At 58.4% G+C, this 17,294-nt stretch overlaps 1 protein-coding gene across 5 annotated transcripts in view, besides 2 other annotated features; it reads left to right on the top strand.

Moving 5' to 3' along the window:
• SPTBN5 (spectrin beta, non-erythrocytic 5) overlaps window positions 1-17,294 on the top strand; it is a 45,908-nt gene that overhangs the window by 1,977 nt on the left and 26,637 nt on the right. For 4 of the 5 annotated variants that reach the window (XR_001751302.2, XR_001751303.2, NM_016642.4 and 1 more), the window contains 20 exons: window positions 1,872-1,988; window positions 3,992-4,149; window positions 4,636-4,864; window positions 5,711-6,342; window positions 8,591-8,729; window positions 8,849-9,081; window positions 9,339-9,492; window positions 9,608-9,808; window positions 9,932-10,141; window positions 10,843-11,043; window positions 11,765-11,917; window positions 12,213-12,343; window positions 12,578-12,817; window positions 13,448-13,735; window positions 14,721-14,961; window positions 15,129-15,268; window positions 15,430-15,529; window positions 15,793-15,963; window positions 16,455-16,619; window positions 17,021-17,235. Coding sequence is in view for 3 of the 5 variants with exons in the window: in NM_016642.4 (NP_057726.4) it covers window positions 1,872-1,988; window positions 3,992-4,149; window positions 4,636-4,864; window positions 5,711-6,342; window positions 8,591-8,729; window positions 8,849-9,081; window positions 9,339-9,492; window positions 9,608-9,808; window positions 9,932-10,141; window positions 10,843-11,043; window positions 11,765-11,917; window positions 12,213-12,343; window positions 12,578-12,817; window positions 13,448-13,735; window positions 14,721-14,961; window positions 15,129-15,268; window positions 15,430-15,529; window positions 15,793-15,963; window positions 16,455-16,619; window positions 17,021-17,235 (4,118 nt within the window). In the remaining 2 variants the exon portion in view is untranslated. Of the gene's footprint in view, window positions 1-1,871; window positions 1,989-3,991; window positions 4,150-4,635; window positions 4,865-5,710; window positions 6,343-8,590; window positions 8,730-8,848; window positions 9,082-9,338; window positions 9,493-9,607; window positions 9,809-9,931; window positions 10,142-10,842; window positions 11,044-11,764; window positions 11,918-12,212; window positions 12,344-12,577; window positions 12,818-13,447; window positions 13,736-14,720; window positions 14,962-15,128; window positions 15,269-15,429; window positions 15,530-15,792; window positions 15,964-16,454; window positions 16,620-17,020; window positions 17,236-17,294 lie in introns of those variants that run through there. The other variant, XM_017022302.2, reaches the window with a different exon arrangement.
• Window positions 433-1,308: an enhancer, noted in NCBI's record as "NANOG-H3K27ac-H3K4me1 hESC enhancer chr15:42182967-42183842 (GRCh37/hg19 assembly coordinates)". NCBI's record gives its function as "activates a minimal SCP1, AML or CMV promoter by ChIP-STARR-seq in naive H9 embryonic stem cells {active_cell/tissue: H9 hESC(naive)}" and the evidence as "EXISTENCE:reporter gene assay evidence [ECO:0000049][PMID:30033119]".
• Window positions 13,627-14,128: an enhancer, noted in NCBI's record as "H3K4me1 hESC enhancer chr15:42170147-42170648 (GRCh37/hg19 assembly coordinates)". NCBI's record gives its function as "activates a minimal SCP1, AML or CMV promoter by ChIP-STARR-seq in naive H9 embryonic stem cells {active_cell/tissue: H9 hESC(naive)}" and the evidence as "EXISTENCE:reporter gene assay evidence [ECO:0000049][PMID:30033119]".

Below are 17,294 nucleotides of genomic sequence, written 5' to 3'. Positions count from 1 at the left end.
CTGCTGTCCTGAGCAGGTGCAAGAGCAGAACGCTGCCAGCTGCAGAATGCTGGGCCCTAGTTGATCCAGGGACAATGACCCTGTGAGCCAGTCATCTCCCCTCCAGGAACTGGGGAAGGGTGTAAGCCCCACAGCCTTTGTCAGAGGTGTTGCAGCTCTCCCCAAGCTTTAATATACAGCATGTCACTGATACCTGTGAGGGTGACATCCTTGTCTCCATACACATAGGAGGCAACTGTGGTCTAGAAAGGATGACGGAGTTGCCGCAAACACACAGGGAATGTGTGGCAGAATGAGGGATGCATTCGCTTATGGAGATGCTCCCATGCCCTGGGCATTCTATGCAGGCGCTGGGCTCCACTAAGCAAAGCCCAGACCCCCACCTCAAGGCACCTGGCTTCAAAGGGAGACAGATTCATTGAACCCAGATCAGCGGTGTGCTGGTAAACGTTTAACAAATGATTCTCTGGGGGAAATAAAAACTCCAGTGTGCTGTATTCGCTGATCCTATGGCGTTAATACCCCCCATCACGGTGAGTTTAAGCCACCAGCGTGACATCGCTCAATAGGAAGTCAGGAGGATAGGCTCTCAGGAGCTGGGAGGAGCAGACAAACACCCCACTCACCAGAGGCTCCAACTCTAAGCCAAGGTGATTGACATGGCAGGTGGAATCCACCCCAGGAGCATGGGTGGGATCCTTTAGAGGCCAGCCAGATATACCAAAGTTTACCTAGGGGGACACCCAGGATTGCAGCTCCTCCCACAGGGCTAGTAGTGGCCGGCTGAAGCCAGTTGCCCTTCAGGTCTTATGGAAAGTCTCACTCCTTTTCTTTCTCCATTCAGTACTTACTGATCGATTGCCTGCTGTGTGCCACTCCCCTAGGATACACCAGAAAACAAAGCCAAGATCCTCACTTGAGCAGGGCAAGGGGATCGAGAGTGTGTATTTGGGTGGGAGAAATAGTCCTTAAGTTTCTGTGTTAAATAAAGTGGTCAGGCTAGGCAACATCTGAGTGAAGAGTTAAAGGCAGGGAGGTGAATAGCCATGCAGATACCTGGGAGAATACTTTCAGACAGCAGGCACGGCCCTGCAAAGGCCTGAAGTCCTGTGCTTAGAATCCCATGGAACTATAAGAATCCCATGGGCCTTGGAGCTATGTGATTCCACAGGGTGGAAGATGGAGCCACAGGGGGCTGGGGGCCAGATCCTGCAGGGCTTCTCCCCTTGACTCACCCATCCTCCCTGTCCAAATGGCAGGATGTAGGGCAGAGGAGTCTCAACTTTGGTGTACCTAAGAGCCACCCAAGGTGTTGTTCAAGTGCAAATTCCCAGGCTCTGGCCCAAGACAGTCTGACTGGGTGGAGCCTGGGAGTCTGGATTTATAGCTGGCCCTGTTGGAGCCGGAACAGAAGAAGAGGGCTGAGATTTGGGTGTGAGCCCAGGGACCCAGCCACCCCCTGAAGATCCCAGGACACCCTGGGAGATGGAGGCAGACAGTTGCTATTGTCTGTTGGGCTCACACATTGACTGTTATGACCCCTCATTTCCAAACCCTGCAGCTGAACCACTGATCTTGGCCCAGGTCTACCTGTAGCCCACACACAGGGAGTCCTCCTGCTCTGAGGGCCCAGCCCAGTTCACCAGGTTGGGGCTTCACCCAGGTGGGCTTGAGGCCATGGCTCCAACCAGGCAGGAAGCCTTTGCTTTCCTGGACTTATCCCCTGCCTGCTTCTCCCTGAGGGAACTCCCAGCTGGGGCAGGATAGATTCCAGGATGCTCCCATCCCGCAGCTGGCCCCCTAAGCTTTTGGTGACTGAGTCCTCTCTGGACATGGGCTTCATGGCTTAGCCCATCCAACTGTGCCCACAGGTGCCAGTACCACTCATCGGGCCAGAGAACATCGTGGACGGAGACCAGACACTCATCCTGGGACTCATCTGGGTCATCATTCTGCGTTTCCAGATCTCCCACATCTCCTTGGACAAGGTATGGCTCAGTCCCCAGTACCCAGCACCTGGTGACCCAGCCCAGCCCTGGCCTCACCTCAGACCCCTGGGGATTCATAAGTTCCACACAACTTTTATGATCCCCATAGGAGATCCTGGAAACTGCAAAGTCCATATTCACTCTCCAACCATGGGTGAAGAACCCAGGATACCAGAGATATTGTAACATTGTAATATGCTAAAGTGAGGGCCAGGGCCATGGGCTTCAAACCAGGTCTGGGCAAGTCATTCACTAGTGGGGGGTTCAGGGTCACTGCCCAGCACCCACTTTCACCCCTGTGTGGTGCTCCCCACTTGGCACTGAGGCTCTGTAACTTCCATTACACCACAATGTACTGTTGGGAAAAATGAAATGTGTGGAGGGAGTCCCAGCTCTGGAGGTTTACAAAGTCCCTGGCACCCTACACACCAAAGATACAGCATTTCTTTCATGGTCCCCAGCTTCCTTCATTCCACCTCTTTCCCCCACACTGGATCAGAAAGACTATAAACTCTTTGTGGCACATGCCTGTAGTCCCAGCTCTCGGGAGGGCTCAGGTGGGAAGCTAACCTGAGCCCAGGATGCTGAGGGTGTGATGAGCCGAGATCACACCACTACACTCCAGCCTGGGTCACAGAGTGAGACCGTGTCTCAAAAAAAAAAGAAAGAGTCCTTATAGTTATACTTTTTCATAGTTTCATGATTTCCAAAATGCCACCTAAAACTCAATTCTAGTAGGTAAGGAAAGCCAACCTGGAGAATGAAACCCTCATGAAAAGAAGCCAGAGATCTGGCAGAAGTCCAGGATGGCCTGGAAACTCAGGGCCTGAGCCCCAGGAGAGCAGGGGTCTTGTGTGTCTGCAGGCTGAGCATCTATTTGAAGGCTGAAGGGACGGATGAATTTCTAACTGACCTCAAGCCCTTTCAGGAAGCCATACTCACCTCCTCAGGCCCCTGGCCAGTTTCAGGTGTCCCCTGCAGCCCAGGCCCTTGGGAGCAGCAGGTGGGCATCCTCCCTGACCAGCACCGTCTCTGTCTGTCTGCAGCCCCCTCCAGCCCTGCTCCCTGCTGACTCAGATATGTTTGGGCTCAGGCTAGCCCCGATCCCTCACAAGCCATCCCAGCATTTTCCTTAGTTCCGTCTGCCAGCCTGGCCCCACCATGCAGGGTACTGGGGCCTGACCTCGCTGGGGCCCAGGGCCTCGAGACTCCACTCCCCCTCATGTGGGCACCATGCACGTCCTTCCTACCCAAGCTCTGGGGCCCAGAGGGCAGGGGAAGTGCAGCCTGCTGAGCCTTGATATTTTGAGTTTATAAACAGGAAGTGAGGCTGGGCATGGTGGCTAACACCTGTAATTCCAGCACTTTGGGAGGCCAAGGCAGGCAGATTATTTAAAGTCAGGAGTTTGAGACCAGCCTAGCCAACATAGTGAAACCCCGTTCCAACTAAAATACAAAAAATTAGCTGGGCATAGTGGTGCCTCCATGTAGTCCCAGTTACTCAGGAGGCTGAGGCAGGAGAATTGCTTGAACCTGGGAGGCAGAGGTTGCAATGAGCCGAGATCGTGCCACTGCACTCCAGCCCATAACACTGGGCCTGGCTCACAGAAAGCCTGCAGTGACGGGACCCAGTTTCATGAAGCCCAGCCACAATCCCATGAGCCTAGGTCAGTTAGCACAGCACCTGGCCCGTCAGAAGGGCTCAAAAAACGGGAGCTGTTGCTGTGTGATCACCTGTGGTGACACAAAGCCAGCGCCTCTGCAGTGACGGCTTTTCCCTTGCTCCACTTCTTTGGAAGGCCAGTCACTCTCACCCCCAATCCTTGCCCACCGTGGATGAAATTGGGCAAAATCAGATACTCTGAAGAGAGGAGAGTCACACTGGCCCCGGGCCAGGGAGGAGCAGGATCCTGCTGTGGCCAGCCTGCCTCTCCCACAGCCTGCAGGCTCTCTGCCTCCCCACCCCATCCCCGCATGGTGACCCTGCTGCCCTGTCCCGCCAGGAGGAGTTTGGGGCCAGCGCAGCCCTGCTGTCCACCAAGGAAGCCCTGCTGGTCTGGTGCCAGCGGAAGACAGCCAGCTACACCAACGTGAACATTACAGATTTCTCCCGAAGCTGGAGCGATGGGCTGGGCTTCAATGCCCTCATCCATGCCCACAGGTGTGACCCCACCCTTGTCAGGAGGCCTCTGCCCACTGAGCCAACAGCTCCTGGGTTTGGGTCCTCAGCCCACCCGTTCTCCCACATCCCTAGGCTTGAAGGAGGGAAAGTGGACACAGATGTAGAAAGGGCTGATGGGTTAGCCCCTTTCCCTTCCCTAGACAATGCCATGAGATTGGCCAAGTTTACCTTTGACCCCAGCCTTCTCCACTTTCTGTGCCCCTCAATTCTATTCATGTTCTACACCCTGCAGCACCTGCCCTTTGGAGATTCCTCCAGCCCCCCAGCCTGGTCCCTGTGCCGAATGAACTCTCCTCTTTCTCTGTCAGAGTCCTCCTCCTTCAACAGGGCCTCAGATAACTGTCGGGAAAACGAATTCACAAGAAGATGTGAATGGCCAATAGGAGCATGAGTGCATTTAAGAATCTACTTAAAGGAAAGCAGTAGGTTCCTGCTGGTGAAGAGCCCTTCTCACTGTCTGTCCAGGCCAGACCTGTTGGACTACGGCTCCCTGCGTCCAGACCGCCCACTGCACAACCTTGCTTTTGCTTTCCTGGTGGCTGAGCAGGAGCTGGGCATTGCTCAGCTGCTGGACCCCGAGGACGTGGCAGCCGCACAGCCAGATGAGCGCTCTATCATGACCTACGTCTCCCTCTACTACCACTACTGCTCCCGCCTGCATCAGGGGCAGACTGTCCAGAGGAGACTCACTAAGGTGGGGGAGAAAGGAGGGGTGGGGTGAGCAAGGGCTCCAGAGGCAGACAGGCCTAAGCGTGAAGCCTGCCCTGCCACGTACTAGCTGTGTGGCCTTGGCCAAGTCACCCAACTTCACTGTGCACCCTCTATCACATGGAGATGATGATGCCTGGATAACAGAAGGCCCTTGTGAGTGTTCCAGGGAGCATGGGTAATGGACCCAGCACGGTGCCTGGTATACAAGGGAAGCCAGGGGAGGAATGGCCCTTCCTGGGCCTCCCCCTTCTTCCCGACTCTCGGGCTATTAAGCTTCTAATGGGATTAAAAGGCTTAGAGAGCCAGGATTCTGCAAGGACAGGCACAGAAAAGGCTCTGCCAGCGGGGGCTACGCAGAATTCATGTTTTTGGGGGGCTTCCTTACTCTCTGGACACGATGGCAGAGGCTAAGGCCTGGAAGTGCTCTTCTCAAGGTGGGTATCTCATTTGGGGTGTGGGTGGGGGTGACACAGGCCAAGGGCTGTGAGCTGCTTTATGGGGTAGGAGGCTCAGGGAAGGGAAAGGCGGCCTAGAAAAAGAACAGCAGCCTGAAGGGCCTCAACCCCACCAGTGAGGCCAAATGGGTAAAACAAGAGGAAGAAGGCAGGATAGCCTCACCCTCAGTCATGGAGAGGGTCCCCAAGCTCCTGGGTCTGAGTGTGCAATCCAAGCAAACCCAGTTCTCTGGGGTGGGGGTACCACCACTTCAAAGCATCTTTGGCTCAGAGAAGTAGCTACAGCCCACCTGGGGAACTCTGGCTGGCACTCAGTGCCCATTCCAGGGCCTGCCCTGAGAAGGACCCTGACCCCTTCCTATGCCCTCCACCAGATCCTGCTTCAGCTCCAGGAGACAGAGCTGCTGCAGACCCAGTACGAGCAGCTGGTGGCTGACCTTCTACGCTGGATTGCAGAGAAGCAGATGCAGCTGGAGGCGCGGGATTTTCCAGACTCGCTGCCCGCCATGCGGCAGCTACTGGCAGCATTCACCATCTTCCGCACCCAGGAGAAGCCACCCCGGCTACAGCAGCGAGGGGCCGCAGAGGCCCTGCTCTTCCGGCTACAGACAGCACTCCAAGCCCAGAACCGCAGGCCCTTCCTGCCTCATGAGGGCCTGGGCCTTGCAGAGCTGTCCCAGTGCTGGGCAGGGCTGGAGTGGGCAGAGGCTGCAAGGAGCCAGGCCCTGCAGCAGAGGCTACTGCAGCTGCAGCGGCTAGAAACCCTGGCCCGGCGCTTCCAGCACAAGGCAGCCCTCCGGGAGAGTTTCCTTAAGGATGCAGAGCAGGTGCTAGACCAGGCCAGAGCCCCGCCAGCCAGCCTGGCCACAGTGGAGGCAGCCGTCCAGAGGCTGGGCATGCTGGAGGCTGGCATCCTGCCCCAGGAGGGGCGCTTCCAGGCCCTGGCTGAGATCGCAGACATCCTCCGGCAGGAGCAGTACCACAGCTGGGCAGATGTGGCCCGCAGGTGAGCCCCAGCACATGAACTCTCCCCACAGCTGGCTGAGGCTGTCCTACCACACCCCCATCCTTCCATGTCATGTGCCCATTCTTTGCCAGAGAGGAGAGGGATGATTTATGGGTTCAGGGATCCCTCTACAAAGATCTATCTCCCAGTGATGCTTGCAAGCCCACTATCAGTAATTCATTCCTATTGGTGAAGCACTTTCACTTTCTAGGTAGCCTCTGATTCATCCACTAAACAAGAATTTTTTGAGTGTCTACTATGTCCCACACACTGTGCTAGGTGCTGGAGATTTAGTAGAGAAGAGAAGAAACAAAAATTCCTTCCCTCATGAACTTACACACTACTAAGGAAAACAGACATATAAGAAAAATTCATAGCATGTGGTAATAAAAATAATAATAATAAAGGAGAGGCCGGGCGCGGTGGCTCATGCCTGTAATCCCAGCACGTTGGGAGGCCGTAGCAGGCGGATGACCTGAGGTCAGGAGCTCAAGACAGCCTAGCCAACATGGCAAAACCCCGTTTCCACTAAAAAATACAAAAATTAGCCAGGCGTGGTGGCGGGCGCCTGTAATCTCAGCTACTCGGGAGGCTGAGGCAGGAGAATCGCTTGAACCCAGGAGGCAGAGGTTGCAGTGAGCAGAGATGGCGCCATTGCACTCCAGCCTGGGAGACAGAGTGAGACTCCATCTCCAAAAATAATAACAATAAAGGAGGATAGGGGAATGAATATGAGGTGCTAAGTTTGAGTGGCTAGAGGGGATTCACTGGGAAGTTGACTTCTAAGTAAAAACCAGAAAGAAGTGACGAGCTGGCCATGCAGACGTGGGAGACAGAGTATTCTAGGCGGAGGAAACGGCAAATGCAGTGTCCTTTTAGGCGAGCACATGCCTGGCAGGTTTGAAAAATAGCCTGGAGGCCAGTGTTGGCCAAAGTGAACAAGTGGCAGGAGCTGAGGTCAGGGGGGCACAGGGGTGACGAGGTAGGGAAGGAGGTCAAGTCGGGCCTTGCAGGGCACAGTAACGATTTGGCTTTTACTCAGAGAGATGATGGGAAATCAGTGGAGGGCTGGAGCAGACGAGTGACACAATCTGACTTTTGTTTTGCGATGCTCACCTGGATGTCATGTTGGGAATAGATCCAAGGGGCAAAGGCAGAAGCAGAGAGACCAGTTACAAAGCTATTGCAGTAATCCAGGACGGAGCAGCAGTGGTGACAAGGGGTGGGGTTCTGGATAGATTTTGCAGGTAGTGCCAAGTAGAATTTGCAGACAGATCAGATGTGGCATGTGAGAAAGTGAGTTATCAAGATGTTAGGCCGGGCCTGGTGGCTCATGCCTGTAATCTCAGCACTTTGGGAGGCCAAGGCGGGTGGATCACCTGAGGTCAGGAGTTCAAGACCATCCTGGCCAACATGGTGAAACCCGTCTCTACTAAAAATACAAAAATTGGCCGGGCGCAGTGGCTCATGCCTGTAATCCCAGCACTTTGGGAGGCTGAGGCGGGCAGATCACGAGGTCAAGAGATCAAGACCATCCTGGCTAACACAGTGAAACCCCGTCTCTACTAAAAATACAAAAAAATTAGCCAGGTGTGGTGGCGGGCACCTGTAGTCCCAGCTACTCGGGATGCTGAGGCAGGAGAATGGCATGAACCTGGGAGGCGGAGCTGGCAGTGAGCCGAGATCGTGCCACCGCAGTCCGGCCTGGGCGAAGGAGTGAGACTCTGTCTCAAAAATAAATAAATAAAAAATAAAAATAAAAATAAAAATACAAAAATTAGCCGGGCATGGTGGCCCATGCCTGTAATCCCAGCTACTCAGGTGGCTGAGGCAGGAAAGTCACTTGAACCCGGGAGGTGGAGGTTGCAGTGAGCCAAGATTGCACCACTGCATTCTAGCCTGGGTGACAGAGCAGATTCTGTCTCAAAAGAAAAAAAAAAAGATTTTAGTCTGGGCGCCTGGAAGGATGGAGTTTTCATCAACTGAAATGGGGACTGCATCCAAGTTAGGGGGCCCCAAAGGCCTGATCCTTCCAGGCCCTCCTTCTGGCTTCTCTGCATGTGTCCAAAGGTAGGACACACTGCCTCTACCACCGCCTGCCAGGATGCTGTCAGAGTCCATAGACCTTGCCCCAGCCATGGAGGTCAGACTCTTCCAGGGCAGCCAAGCCCCACCACAGACCAGGAACCCTGAAGTAGCTTCCCTGCCCCAACCCAGAGGAGATCTCCCTTATTCTCATATCCTCTAGGCAGGAGGAAGTTACCGTGCGCTGGCAGAGGCTCCTTCAGCATCTACAGGGACAGAGGAAGCAGGTGGCAGACATGCAGGCTGTGCTGAGCCTGCTGCAGGAGGTGGAGGCTGCCTCCCACCAGCTGGAGGAGCTGCAGGTGGGCACTGGACCAGCAGGCCCTTGGGAAACACAGCAAGGTGGGGGACTTCCCCAGTGCCAGTGCTCAGAGGGACCCAGCACCTTGGGACCACTGCAATGACCATCATCTCTGGCCAGGAGCCGGCCAGGTCCACCGCCTGTGGGCAGCAGCTGGCAGAAGTGGTGGAGCTGCTGCAGAGGCATGACCTGCTGGAGGCTCAAGTCTCGGCCCACGGAGCCCATGTGAGCCATCTTGCTCAGCAGACAGCAGAGCTGGACTCCTCCCTGGGCACCAGTGTGGAGGTGCTGCAGGCCAAGGCCAGGACACTGGCCCAGCTCCAACAGAGCCTGGTGGCTCTTGTCAGGGCCCGGTAAGAGCCTGCCCCAACTCTTCCACCTTTCCCAGAACTTTTCTGTAACCCAAATTATCTCCTGCCCAGGTTAAAGTACTGTTGGCCTGCCAGTTTTCTCCACACTGACCCTCACTTCCAAAGCCTCCGTCTCACCTGTTGAGTCATCCAGGGAAAAGAAAAATCCTGTCTAAGGGGAGTGTCTAAACCCGGAGGGGAACCCACTGCCCATGCCTCACGACTCCCCATGTCCTTCGGTGGCCCCTATTGTCCCTCAGGCGGGCCCTGCTGGAGCAGACCCTGCAGCGGGCAGAGTTCCTGCGCAACTGTGAGGAGGAGGAAGCCTGGCTGAAGGAGTGCGGACAGCGGGTGGGGAATGCGGCCCTGGGCCGGGATCTCAGCCAGATCGCAGGCGCCCTGCAGAAACACAAGGTGTCAGCTCCCCGAGCGCGCCCGCCGGTCGCCAGCGCCTTGCCCTTCCCTCTCGGGCCCCCGGCCCCCTCCCCTGTTCTGCCTTCACTGAGCCCCCTGCTCTGCCCCCCGCTAGGCCCTGGAAGCTGAGGTCCACCGCCACCAGGCCGTGTGCGTAGATCTCGTGCGGAGGGGACGCGACCTCAGCGCCCGCAGGCCCCCAACGCAGCCGGATCCCGGGGAACGGGCAGAGGCCGTTCAGGGAGGGTGGCAGCTGCTCCAGACCCGGGTGGTGGGGCGGGGCGCACGGCTGCAGACAGCCCTGCTGGTCCTGCAGGTAGTGGGGAGGGGTGGAGGCGGGGTGGGGGCGGGGCCCGGCGAGGCGGGGGTGGGGGTGCCAGCACCTGCCCGCGCTCAGCCGCGCCCCTTCACCCACACCACCCCCGACCCCCTCCCACAGTACTTCGCGGACGCGGCGGAGGCGGCTTCGTGGCTGCGCGAGCGGCGATCCTCGCTGGAGAGAGCGTCCTGCGGTCAGGACCAGGCGGCCGCCGAGACCCTGCTGAGGCGCCACGTGCGGCTGGAGCGCGTCCTGCGCGCCTTCGCGGCCGAGCTGCGGCGGCTGGAGGAGCAGGGGCGGGCGGCCTCGGCCCGGGCGTCGTTATTCACGGTGAGGACGGGGACAGGGAAGGGCGCCTGGTCTCCCTTGCTCCACCGCGGCTGGGCCACACAGAGGACAAAAATGGGAGGGCCTTTGTGGCCTCTGGCCCAGGATTCGTGGCCTTCCCGTGGGTGTAGGTGTCCCTCACCCCAGTCCTCAGTGGCATCTCACTTGTTGACCTAGCCCAGAAGTAGTGGAATCCTGTCTGCCCACGTCAACCGAGGGCATCCAAATACAGCTTGGCCTGGCTCCTGTTGCCGGCAGTTTCAGACCGTTAAGCACTTTCCTCCAGGAAGGTCCCCTCCACTTTCACCCAGGCCAGTAGTGACTGTCTCTCCTGACTTAGCCCGCCTTGTTGGTTTGGGGTGGCCTCATCACTCACCCAGACTGCCTTCTGACACCCCTTGCTCAGTTCATTGAGCCCCCAAAGTTCTTTAAAACACGTATAGCTTGGCTCACAGCCCTCTTTCAAGAAGCTGTGTATGCAGCACACGATGTGGAAATCAAAGCCATCAGATCCTGTGCTCACGTTTGGCCCCTCGACCCTCAGCCCCAAGGAAGCTTCCTGTCCCCCAGACCCATGTCCCACACACCCTTTGAGCTACAGCTCAGCGCCTCCAGGTCTCAGGGCACGGAGGTAGGGGTGGCCTGGCCAAAGCCCCTGCTGCTTGATGGGGTCGCCTGTAGACGCGCTGCCCTTTGTCACACAGGTGAACTCTGCCCTGAGCCCTCCAGGAGAAAGCCTGAGGAACCCAGGGCCCTGGAGTGAGGCTTCCTGCCACCCTGGCCCTGGGGATGCCTGGAAGATGGCCCTCCCAGCTGAGCCTGACCCTGACTTTGATCCCAACACTATACTCCAGACACAGGACCACTTGAGTCAGGACTATGAGAGTCTGCGGGCCCTGGCACAGGTAACACTTCTTTTTCAAGAAATGCTCGAGTCCTTACTCTGTGCCAGCAGCTCCTGTGCAGTGATCCCAGGGGACAAGGCAGTGACTGACATGTTCCCTGTCCTCAAGGAGCTTTTATCATGGCTGAGAAGATGTCAGACAACTCATTAGATGCAGGTGTGATGGGATCACATGAGAAGGTAGCCCAGGTCAGGCTGGAGGTCAGGGAAGGCACCTTGGAGGGAAGGACTTTTAAGCTGAGGCTTGAATGAGAAACAGAAAGCAGGTAAACCCAGGGGTGCTGGCCAGGACCTGTGCAAAGGTAGGAAGGGGGCCCAGCGGAGGAAGCGAAGGCCCAGGTCCCTGCAGCACAGACGCTGGGGAGGCCATGGCCAGAGGAGAGACTAGAGAGGCAGGTGGGGGTGGAGCAGGCAGAGGGAGCGGCGTGGATTTCACCTTAGAGCAGGGCTGGCACTGAGAGGTTTCAGCAGGGCAAGACCAGACAGGAGCACACTGCCAGTGCCCTTTACCCTTCCCTAAGCCCTTGCCATCTCCCTCCAGGTGGTGCCAAGAGGGCTCTGAGAGAGGATGTGGGGCCCAGCAGTGAGGCAGGGACCCCCTCTGGCCCTGACCCTGGGCTCTGCTGGTGGGCTGGGATGGGGAGGAGCACCCCTTTGACCCGCTCTGAGAGCCCTGTCGGGGGCCCTGACCCTCACCCCAGCCTTGGGCCACCTCTCCCCAGCTCCGCAGGGCCCGGTTGGAGGAGGCCATGGCCCTGTTCGGTTTCTGCAGTTCCTGTGGGGAGCTCCAGTTGTGGCTGGAGAAGCAGACAGTGCTGCTCCAAAGGGTGCAGCCCCAGGCTGACACCCTGGAGGTCATGCAGCTCAAATATGAGGTACAGCCCTGGGAGCTTGGCACCTCCTCCTCGCCTTGCCCCTGCCTCCCTGTGGTCTGCTGCTGTGACTCAGTTTTCCAATTTAACTACCGTCCTGCCTGGGGGAGGGGAGCAGAGAGCTGGCCTGAATTTCGAGGGCCTCCTGGCCCTTAAGGACTCGGATGGCTGTCTTTCCAGGGGCAGGCAGCATGAGCATCCCTGTAGCAGAGAGCACCACTCAGGTCCGTCATAGGCTAGAGGGGAGTGTGGAAAGAGAAAAAGTCCCCCAAGAGGGCTGGGTCCTCCTTTTCCCTAGAACTTCCTCACTGCCCTGGCTGTGGGAAAGGGCCTCTGGGCTGAGGTCAGCAGCTCTGCTGAGCAACTGAGGCAGAGATATCCTGGGAACTCCACACAAATCCAACGACAGCAGGAGGAACTGAGCCAGAGGTGAGAATGAGGCAGGAGTGCAGGTGGTGAGGCAGGCAGACACAGTGCCCAGCCTGGGCCTGACTCACCTGCCTCCCGCCATGCCAGATGGAGAGGCTGGACGTGTCCGAGGCACAGGGAAGGGGCAAGGGACAGCCAGTCTGGCAGCTTCTGTCACGTGAGGCTCTGGCCAAGGCTCCCGGATGGATGGGGAGGTGTCCCTGTTGTGGAGACAACCTTGTACCCTCTGCCCAGGTGGGGGCAGCTGGAGGCCCTGAAGAGGGAGAAGGCCGTGCAGCTGGCACACAGTGTGGAAGTGTGCAGTTTTCTGCAGGAGTGTGGACCCACACAGGTCCAGCTGCGAGACGTGCTCCTCCAGCTGGAGGCCCTGCAGCCAGGGAGCTCAGAGGACACCTGCCACGCCCTGCAGCTGGCCCAGAAGAAGACCCTGGTGCTGGAGAGGAGGGTCCACTTCCTCCAAAGTGTGGTCGTAAAGTACGGCCAGCGCAGTGGTGGCATTGGGAGGCAGTGAGGACCATGGGAAGGCGTGGGCAGGGCAGTGGAATGAGGAAGGGACAGAAATTGGGATGGGGAGACAACAGGTAGGAGGGCTGTGGCAAAGATGGGGGGATGATCAGGAGAAAATGGTCCTGGGGACAGGAAGAGCCCTATGTTTTTTTATTTCTTTTTGAGACGGAGTCTTGCTCTGTCGCCCGGGCTGAGTGCAGTGGCGTGATCTCGGCTCACTGGAAGCTCAGCCTCCCGGGTTCACGCCATTCTCCTGCCTCAGCCTCCCAAGTAGCTGGGACTACAGGCGCCCACCACCATGCCTGGCTAATTTTTGTATTTTTAGTAGAGACGGGGTTTCACCGTTTTAGCCGGGATGGTCTCGATCTCCTGACCTCGTGATCTGCCTGCCTCGGCCTCCCAAAGTGCTGGGATTACAGGCTTGAGCCACTGCACCTGGCGAGCCCTATGTTCTTGCTGCCCCCAGGTCAAGGGTGGGGTGGGCATTGAGAGTCAGCACCACTCTCCCTGGGGGATGCAGGTTTGGAGAGAGGACATGTGCCTGGGGCACCAGGCCCAGGACAGGGCACTGACTGTGCAGCGCACCCTGTCTCCCAGGGTCGAGGAGCCAGGCTACGCAGAGAGCCAGCCTCTGCAAGGACAGGTGGAGACACTGCAGGGGCTGCTGAAGCAAGTACAGGAACAAGTGGCCCAACGGGCCCGGCGCCAGGCTGAGACTCAGGCCCGGCAGAGCTTCCTGCAAGAGAGCCAGCAACTGCTACTGTGGGCAGAGAGTGTCCAGGCTCAGCTGCGCAGCAAGGAGGTGTCAGTGGATGTGGCCTCGGCTCAGCGGCTGCTGAGGGAGCACCAAGACCTGCTGGAGGAGATCCACCTGTGGCAGGAGAGGTCAGGACAGGAGGGCAGAAGGGGTGCACTTTGGGCTGGGACCAGGGCTCTGGGCTCTGGGTTCAGGCCCAGAAAGAGCATGCGGGAAGTAGTGTGATTTCCCCAGGGAGGGGCCCAGACTGGTTGGTGTCTGGCATGCTGCTTGAGGCAAGTTTACACAGAGGAGGATATAATCTAGGACTGGGTCAGGCAGCCTGTACACTTCGAGGAGAGACCCAGGACACTGAGCTGCCTGGGAGGCTCTCTGCAGCCCAGGCCCGGCTGGCCCCCTCCAGGTGGGCCCGATGCATTGCTTTCAGTCAGGGCGTCTAGCCCCCCCTGCCGTCCTGGTAACACGGACCCCAGCGGCCCCTAAGTGGAATGGCTCAGGACCCACCCACGGGTCTGAGATCCCCACCTCCTTAGTAAGGTGGCGCCTCTCCTCCTGCAGGGATGACGTTATGGGCTGGCAGGCAGGCAAGGCCACCAGGGACAGTCCACAGGCTGTGCCCCTCCTGAAGGCACTTGACAGGTGGCCAAGTGGGCACTGAAATGCATCTGGCCCTCAGCTTGCCAGACTCCAGTACCTGGTTCTGCAGCGGCTCAGAGGAAGTGGAGCCTTGCTCTAATTCACACAAGGGTGTTACCTGTTCCCAAGCCACCTGCTGAAAGGAGCACCTTTTCTGATTGTTCAAAGCCTCCATGGGGGCTTGCAGTGGCCCTGCGGTCAGGTGCTTTTGTGGCTTGCGTGATTTTTCTCTCTCACACTGTGCTGCCTCCGCATGTCCTCTAGGCCGGGCATCGGCTGTTGGCAGTCCACACTTAAGGACGGCCGGCTGGAGCCGATGGGGGATTGGGAACCCCTGCACCCTAAGCACTCTGCTGGGCCTATCACATTCAGTGTCTCATTCATGATCCAAGATGCGTGAACCCTGGAGGTGAGAGGAGAAGGAGGCTGACGAGGGAGCCTGCTGGGGTTTGACTCTCTGCCTGTCATCCTGGTCAGGCTGCAGCAGCTGGACGCTCAGAGCCAGCCCATGGCAGCCTTGGACTGCCCAGACTCCCAAGAGGTGCCCAACACTCTGAGGGTCCTGGGGCAGCAGGGCCAGGAGCTGAAGGTTTTGTGGGAGCAGAGGCAGCAGTGGCTGCAAGAGGGGCTGGAGCTGCAGAAGTTTGGCCGAGAAGTGGATGGTTTCACTGCCACCTGTGCCAACCACCAGGCCTGGCTGCACCTGGACAACCTTGGGGTATGGAGCAGGAATGTGGAGCTAGGCTGTCACTCCCCATCACTGGAGGGAGCTCATCCCCTTGAGTCCAGAAGCCAGGCTGGGCAGGAGGCCCCTGGGGCAGTGGCGGGTGAGATGGTCCTGACCCCCATTCTCCCAGGCATGACCTCAGGTCTCTGCACTCCCAGGAGGACGTGAGGGAGGCCCTGAGCCTGCTGCAGCAGCACCGGGAGTTTGGGCGGCTCCTGAGCACCCTGGGGCCTCGGGCAGAGGCTCTGCGGGCACACGGCGAGAAGCTGGTTCAGAGCCAGCACCCAGCTGCACACACGTGAGCCTGGCCTCAGTCTGCAGCACCTGCAGATGACCCTTTCTCAGCCTGCACAGACGGCCGCCCTAGGGCTGGGAGAGTAGGGGGTGGGGGAGAGTGCACCTCGTGCTGGGGTGGGAGTCCTCTCCCATGCCCTCCTCCAACCCCCCCCCGCCCTCCAGGGTCAGAGAGCAGCTGCAGAGTATCCAGGCACAGTGGACCAGGCTCCAGGGGAGGAGTGAGCAGAGGAGGAGGCAGTTGCTGGCTTCCCTCCAGCTCCAGGTGAGGGTCTGGGCCCAGGTCGCATGACGCCTCCCTGAAAAGAAAGCCTGAGACCGTACAGAGCTCTGTGCAGCCTACAGAGCACTTTCCTCACGCGCTATGTCATTCATCCTCTCAACACCTTCTGTGAGGCAGGCAACACAGCTCAGGTTTTTCCTGAGGAGGAAAACAGGGGCTGTGGCCACACCACCCTCAGATGCAGGGCTAGGCACCAGCCCCCACCCACCGTGCTCTGAGACCCACTCTCGCCTGGTTCTTGGCAGGAGTGGAAGCAGGATGTGGCAGAGCTGATGCAGTGGATGGAAGAGAAGGGGCTGATGGCTGCGCATGAGCCCTCCGGAGCGCGCAGAAACATCCTGCAGACACTCAAGCGGCACGAAGCAGCTGAGAGCGAGCTACTCGCCACCCGCAGACACGTGGAGGCCCTGCAGCAGGTGGGGGACACGGGACAGAGGGTGCAGAGCCTCCTTGTCTTCAAATTCCCAACCCTACTGCACCACCTGTTTTCATGGAAGAGTCTTTGAAGGAAAAATCAGCCTCAGCGTGAACCTAGAACCTCCCCCTGCAAGCCTCCTTGATGCTGCTGGCATCCCCTTGGCACCCAAACCAGTCCCAAAGCTGCTGCCATCCATCCCTTCCCCTACAACTCTCCGTGGCAAGTCCCAGAGCCGGCCACCTCTACCAGAACACGGCTCTCCCCAGCCACCAACCTAATGCCGGCTCACCCCGCTCTATTTGCAGGGGTCAGAGGAAAGCCCCCCTACCTGCAGTTTTGGGGCCACATGAACTGCTTTCTTCCAGGCAGCCCGTGGAGTGCAGCTGTGGTCACCCCCTCACCTCCACTGCCACCCAGGTCCAGCCTGCTGCGGCCACTGGTGGTACCAGCAGCTCAGCCAAACTCCCTGGGCCTTTATCTCCACTCCAGGTTGGGAGAGAGCTGTTGAGTAGGAGGCCCTGTGGCCAGGAGGACATACAGACCAGGCTTCAAGGCCTGAGAAGCAAGTGGGAAGCTTTGAACCGCAAGATGACTGAGCGTGGGGACGAGCTCCAGCAGGCTGGACAGCAGGAGCAACTCCTGAGGCAGCTGCAGGTCCACTGGGAAGAGGGACAGGGCACAAGAGGGAGACGGAGGCCTGGCTGGGCTGGACAGAACGGGGAGGGAGAAGTCTGGGTGTTCTGCTGACCCTGGCTCTGCAGCCTCTGGAGGCTTCTGGCCTAGGACAAGCTGAGCGTGGCTTTCCGCTCAGTCGGCCAATGCAGGATTCTCTCCTGTGTGCCCAGCGGGTGGTCAGCACCACTTGAGTCCCCCAGGGAAGAAGAAGCGTGAGGGAACAGGGGAAGATTGGGCACTTCTGGCCGAGGGTTGGCAGTGGTGGGGACAGAGCTCCCTGGTGAATCTGGTCCTAAAAGTCCAACAGTCCCAGAGCCCGGGAAGGCCACTTGCTGTGCTGTACACAGAGAACCTAATGCAGCTCCATGCGTCCCTCCCAGGATGCAAAGGAGCAGCTGGAGCAGCTCGAAGGGGCCCTACAGAGCTCGGAAACAGGGCAGGACCTGCGCTCCAGCCAGAGGCTGCAGAAACGGCACCAACAGCTGGAGAGTGAGAGCCGGACCCTGGCTGCCAAGATGGCTGCCCTCGCCTCCATGGCCCATGGCATGGCCGCCTCCCCGGCCATCCTGGAAGAGACCCAGAAGCACCTCCGGAGGTGGGGTCTGTCCTCCCACCCACCTGTGTGTCACTCCTCCATGTGAATTTAAGGTCCCA

The sequence above is a fragment of the Homo sapiens genome, chromosome 15 (assembly GCF_000001405.40).
Source record: "Homo sapiens chromosome 15, GRCh38.p14 Primary Assembly".
In the NCBI taxonomy this organism is placed as follows: domain Eukaryota; kingdom Metazoa; phylum Chordata; class Mammalia; order Primates; family Hominidae; genus Homo; species Homo sapiens.
This window is presented reverse-complemented; position numbering and strand designations above follow the sequence as displayed.